This window comes from Homo sapiens, chromosome 11 (assembly GCF_000001405.40).
Source record: "Homo sapiens chromosome 11, GRCh38.p14 Primary Assembly".
Taxonomy (NCBI): domain Eukaryota; kingdom Metazoa; phylum Chordata; class Mammalia; order Primates; family Hominidae; genus Homo; species Homo sapiens.
In genome coordinates, this window is record NC_000011.10 from 49,806,732 (window position 1) to 49,812,731 (window position 6,000).

The 6,000-nt window shown below is 32.8% G+C and overlaps 1 pseudogene across 1 annotated transcript in view; it reads left to right on the forward strand.

Moving 5' to 3' along the window:
• The window catches only part of GRM5P1 (GRM5 pseudogene 1), a 251,892-nt pseudogene extending 248,204 nt beyond the window's left edge, over window positions 1–3,688 (forward strand). The window contains exons 5-7 of the transcript NR_027044.1: window positions 924–946; window positions 1,807–1,904; window positions 3,011–3,688. The product of NR_027044.1 is annotated as a GRM5 pseudogene 1 (transcript). The remainder of the gene's footprint in view (window positions 1–923; window positions 947–1,806; window positions 1,905–3,010) is intronic.
• Window positions 3,689–6,000: the final 2,312 nt, after the last annotated feature.

Below are 6,000 nucleotides of genomic sequence, written 5' to 3' on the forward strand. Positions count from 1 at the left end.
GAGGCTTAAATGTGCATTCAATTAATCAATCACTTGCAATAGGAAAAGTCAAATTATTAATAAAGTGGTGAGACAAGGAAGACCAGATACATTCTTGGACACGTCTGTGCTGTTTTAAAGGAAGCCTTCATAGGTTTTATTTCCTTTCAAAGGCAGGGAAAACAGATGTAGTTTCTTCAGTACTCTGACTTCATATTATTAGACTTGCCAGCTAATAAAGTGAATATTAGATATCATTCAGTCATTAGTTCAGAATATTTTAAAGCTTTATTGTTTTCTAATAGCTTATCAAGTCATGAATACAAGTCTTTATGCTTCAAGATGATTTATAGAGATTCTCTCAAGTTACCTTTTTCTACACGCCAAAATCTGTTTTCTTACTTAATTTTACTTTAAAAAAATAATATTTGGCAATTTTTTTACAAAAAGTAATTTTTTAAATTGCTTTTGTCATGGATACATATTTTTACATATTTATAGGGTACACATGATTTTTTTTTACAGTCATAGAATGAGTAATGATCATGTTAGGGTTAGGGTATTTACAGTATCCATCACCTCACATATTTATCATTTCTATGTGTTGGGAACATTTCAAGTTCTCTCTTATAGACATTTTAGAACAAACAATATATTTTTGTTAATGATAGTCTACTCAGCTAACAAACATTAGAATGTTTTTCTTCTATCTAATTGTATGTTTTTACCCATTAACCAACCTCTCTTATTTACACACTACCCATGTACACACCCTCTTCAGCCTCTGGTATCTACTTCCATGAGAAAACCTTTTTTTTGGTCCCACATATATGAGTCAGAACATGTAATATTTGTCTTTCTGTGCCTGACTCCAAATTTCACACTAAACTTAGTGAAAGATGCATCTTGTGAAATGTCCTACGTATTTCTATTTTTTTTTACAGGGTTTTGGAGACATATTACACAGGTGAGTGTTTATGTAGATTTTAGCATATATTCCTTCAGTTTCCATGAATATCAAAGCAGGCTCTACCAAAGTCATGGCATAAATGATTCAGATATTGATACTACCTTTTTGTTTTTGCATCTGCTTTCACTCTCACACCAGAAAAGACAAGAACACTAAATAAAAAAATAAATAAATAAATAGTGAAATAAAAAAATGTTTATTCCTGAGTTTGTTTTATTGCTTAAAAGCCTGCATGGGTGAAAGATAAAGTTTTGTTTTGTGGATGGTTAGAAAGTCACCAGAGGAAGCAGGAGAGAAGTGGGGGAAGTATTTTAGCAGTGAAAAAGTTGATGATTTGTTGTTCATACCTACATACATATCAGTTAATAGTCCTGAAAAATAGGTTGAAAAAACTGTGGAGTGTTAGGACTGTATAAGTCTCTAGGGAAGCTTGTTTCTAAAAGGCACGTCTAGCTGTCTAGAACAAATTTCACATTCTTTATCTTGAAAAGGAAGCAGCAGATGCAGCAGTCTCCCCAAAACCCCGCTATTTCAGACAAAGAGGTCAGGGGAGTCTGCCAAGAAGTGGAACTCAGAATTTCATTTCCAAATATTCTCAAGGCCATAAGGCTAAGGAACCTTACACATGTGGGGCAGAAAAAAAGAAAGATCAGACTGAATTCTGACTCAGGCTCTCCCACTATGCTTTAAAATTTGGAAACTGTAAATAAAAATTAATTCCAAAAAGGAAGGAATAATTTTTGAATAATCAAATTTGTGGATTCACAGGATTCTCATGAACTGTCTTTTAAATAGAAATAGTGATTTTTATTTATTTTATGGCTGTAGATGTTGTAACTGCAGGTTTTTCCTTCCAGAAGTGAGTCCGTGCTGCTGCACATGCCCCAGCCTCTGAATCTAGAGCTCAGTGCAGGGCCCATCACTGGACTGAGGGACAGGCTCATCTAATTCTGAGGTAAGTCTCCACCCATAGGCAGCACTCCCACTATCTAAATATTATTATTGTTAGGACCACATAGGTAATATTTCATCCTTTATCAAATATTTTACTTCTTTATAGACATAAGTGAACAACATAATCATGCAACCCTTTTGTATCTGTGTCTGTGTAGTCAGATTTATAGCAATAAGTTTGAAAGATAGTGAAAAACAAATACATTTTGTCCTCATATATACTGAGTAATGTAATGGGAAAAAGGAGTAGTGTAGCAAATTTAAAAAAGGAGCAAATGGAACAATGCTCAGAATGAAGGTGAGTTATTTAATGTTAAATACAAAATTTTACATTTCCTTAGTGTATTCATTTGAACAGCTAAGAACTGTTCTTTTGGGGAGTATGGTTTACTGGGGATTGCTGGGGGTTTTTAATTTTTTAAATGGATATGTATCATGTATTGCAAAAAAATTAGTTAATGGGTAAACATAAAAAGAAATCATTTTGTGAATGCAAGTAAAATTACAAACAAAAAGAAGTTCAGTTTAATTGCAATATGAAAAGCTACATGTTAAGTCTAAAATCCAGCTTCAGCCCCAAGCTAACATGGAGGGCCACAGAGAGACTGGTAAAAGATTTTGCAGAAATCTGCTTTAAATGATCACTTATGACGTGTACTTATGGATTTTTATCCAGTTATCTAGAGCAGTTCTTGAGTAACTGAAAATCTTCACATTCTTTCCAAAATGATAGCACTAGTTTTTAAGAATAAGAAACATTTCTAAATAATGATCTTGATAACAGCATAGCATTTAGGGCATATAATGAGCAAATTTTGCTTTGAAAATTGGATTGAAAGAAGTTGGTCTTACATTTGGCTCTCAATATGTAAGTTTTCAAAACAATTTTAATATCTGTGGTTAGCGTTTTTTTTGTCTTGTAGATAATATTAATCATCTCTATACTTTATTAGAAGTTACAAGCAAGTGTCCTTGTGACTTTACATTTCCTGGTAAATTAACTTCTTGATAGAACAATTTTTGCTTATTTACACATGCCTATGCATGTTTTCTTTCTTTCTTTCTTATTTATTTATTTATTTATTTATTTATTTATTTATTTTGCAGTGGATATTACTCTGCATTATAATGAAGCCAACAGTCATATCTTCTGATGTGGAGATTTGAGAAGCATTTGTATTGGATGTGACCGTCAAAATGCGCCCCATATCACTGCAACACCTACAAGTTTTCTTGCATGGGGTGCTCAGACTTTCACCTCTGGCAAGTATTACTGGGAGGTCCATGTGGGGGACTCTTGGAATTGGGCTTTCGGTGTTTGTAATAAGTACTGGAAAGGGAAGAATCAGAATGGCAATATATATGGAGAGGAGGGACTCTTTAGTCTTGGGATTGTTAAGAACGACATTCAGTGCAGTCTCTTTACCACCTCCCCAGTTACACTGCAGTATGTCCCAAGACCTACCAACCATGTAGGATTATTCCTGGATTGTGAAGCTAGAACTGTGAGCTTCGTTGATGTTAATCAAAGCTCCCCTATATACACCATCCCTAATTGCTCCTTCTCACCTCCTCTCAGGCCTATCTTTTGCTGTATTCATCTCTGACCAGAGACAAATCAGAAATGTGTTTATCTGCTGTGGGAACCCCTTTATCCCATAAAGCCCTCTTCCTTGTGCCTTATCAAACAGGACAAATAGGTTCTGTTTTATGTCTTGAATTGCATTCTAATGTTATTAAAACTCATTTATTGTGTTACTATTAAATGTGGTAAAAACACTAAAAGTATATGTATTGGTTCTTTATTAATTAATTTTTGAAAACTCATTATTCATGATCATGGCATGAAATATATTCTCTGTTTTTTTTTTCTTTATTTCTCACTACCACTGAGTGAAATAATAGATGACAGACATGTCTGAATGGAGTTAAAATCAGTGGAAGAGAGTCAGGATATTTTGCTTCATGCAAAAACTTGGAGTGAAGTCTTAATGATAACTGGGAAATGTTGTTTTTCTTTCTCTTTATATAACTGTATTGCACTTATCCATCATGTTTCATTGTACTAATCTATCCTTTGAGTTATATCAATTGACCTTCCATGCTGGGCTTCATTTTGGAATTCTCACCACATATATAAATAATCCCGCATTATTAGTGTGCTCTTCTACATTGAAATACACAAGGTGATCAGAACAATGCTGGATTTATTGAATTTTTTTTAAAAAAGTAACTAAATATTGACTCCTACCTCAAAACACACACAGTCACTTCCAAATAGATTCAAGTCCTGAAGGTAAGGGAAACATGACACAATATTCTCATAAGGATTTCTTAACCAGGACAAAAATTAACAATTAAAAAAATTAGTTGGTTTATATTAATGATGACTTCTGTGTTTCAAAAAACATGATACAAGAATTGAAATGCAAACCATTAGTGGAGAAAGATATTCACCCGAACATATATAAAATAAAATACAATTCATGTGCATGATGAATACTTAAAATGTATTTTAAGTATTTTTCCAGATTATTCCAGAGTGGCCTAGAATAAACTTGGATGACAGAGTCAATGATGAGATTAGCTGTGGAAATGGGAAACCATTTTTTGGAGGACAGTAGTAATGCTGTGAACTTATGAAAACAACCAAGTATTCAGTAGCAACTAAAATGTGTCTCCATAAGATTATTTTACAGATGCGTATCTGAAATCTGAAATTTGGGAGAACATTCTACTAGTGTTCTCTAGTGAGAAAATACAGCTGGAAGGAAGAAGGGAGGGAAGCTGAAGGAGAGAGAAACAGAATGCATTTGAGAGAAAATGCTATTTAGACTAAAATAGAATACTGCAGATACCATGACAAAGTGGTTAAAGTGTGTCTTATGGAGCAGAAATGGCAAAAAAATACCACAGTAAAGAGATTTACAACTGGATTGTTAGTTCTGGCTTTTATCCTGTCAATGTTGTGGCTTCTAAACACATCAGTGCTCTCCTTTGATCCATGTGTTAATTAACAACCAACACTCTGCCCCCTCTCCCAGATTCTTTCATCATTTTAAACCTAATCTAATTCTAATCCAGCTGGTCATTGTAACAAATGTAATCATCTAAGAATTTAAAAAAGATTTTTGATGAACTACTGAATATACCTCATTCTCAACAAAAATACTGTTTGAGAGGAAAAGTCGATGGTATTTGCAACCATTTAAGTGCATCCACACATGCAGACATATATATTTATATGTATATATTTATGTATCTGAGTTAATTGCATTAATTAGAGTGGCTACCTGGATTAGGATTACACTGGGCTTTGCTGATGAAAGAATTCGGAATGTTGTTTGGTTACCCTGTAATACCTATATGAATATATTAACCCTGTAATGTTACTACTGCCAAAGCTCCCTTAGATGTAATCAAGGATGATTGTATAGGGATGTATATTGTTGCACTCTTTCCAATCATGAAAGAGGGAAAAATAAATGTACTATAATGTGGAAATTGTTTAGAAAATTAGAATGCATTTTACTAAACCCTGTAAAAACCAACACCATCTATATGTGTTAATATATTGATACTAACAGATTTTCTTTTATCTCTTACATGACTATAATTCCTATTTTTCACTAGTATTTTTATTATGGACAGTCACAGTATTTTATTATGGATGGATATAGAAACAAAAATAATTCCCTCTACAGAGGGTATAAAAATTATATATCATCATATATATTATATATATTATGTATTTTTTATTATAGGTAAATATTTATATATTTATATTATATATAAAATATATAATATGCAAATATTTATATATTTGTATTTTATATAATATATATTATATATATAAAAATTATATATATATATAATATAGGGACTCGATTAGTTTCTGCTAGTGTGAAGACAAGTCATATCATGTCTAGGGGCCATGATGATAGGAGCAGTCAGAGGATTTCTTGCATTGTGATGAGTGCATATAAGTTAAACGAGCCACTTATCAGTAGAATTGATAGCAGGATAACGGCTAGGGTTACTTCATATGAAATTGTTTGGGCTACAGTTTGTAATGCGCCAAATAGTGCATAATTTGA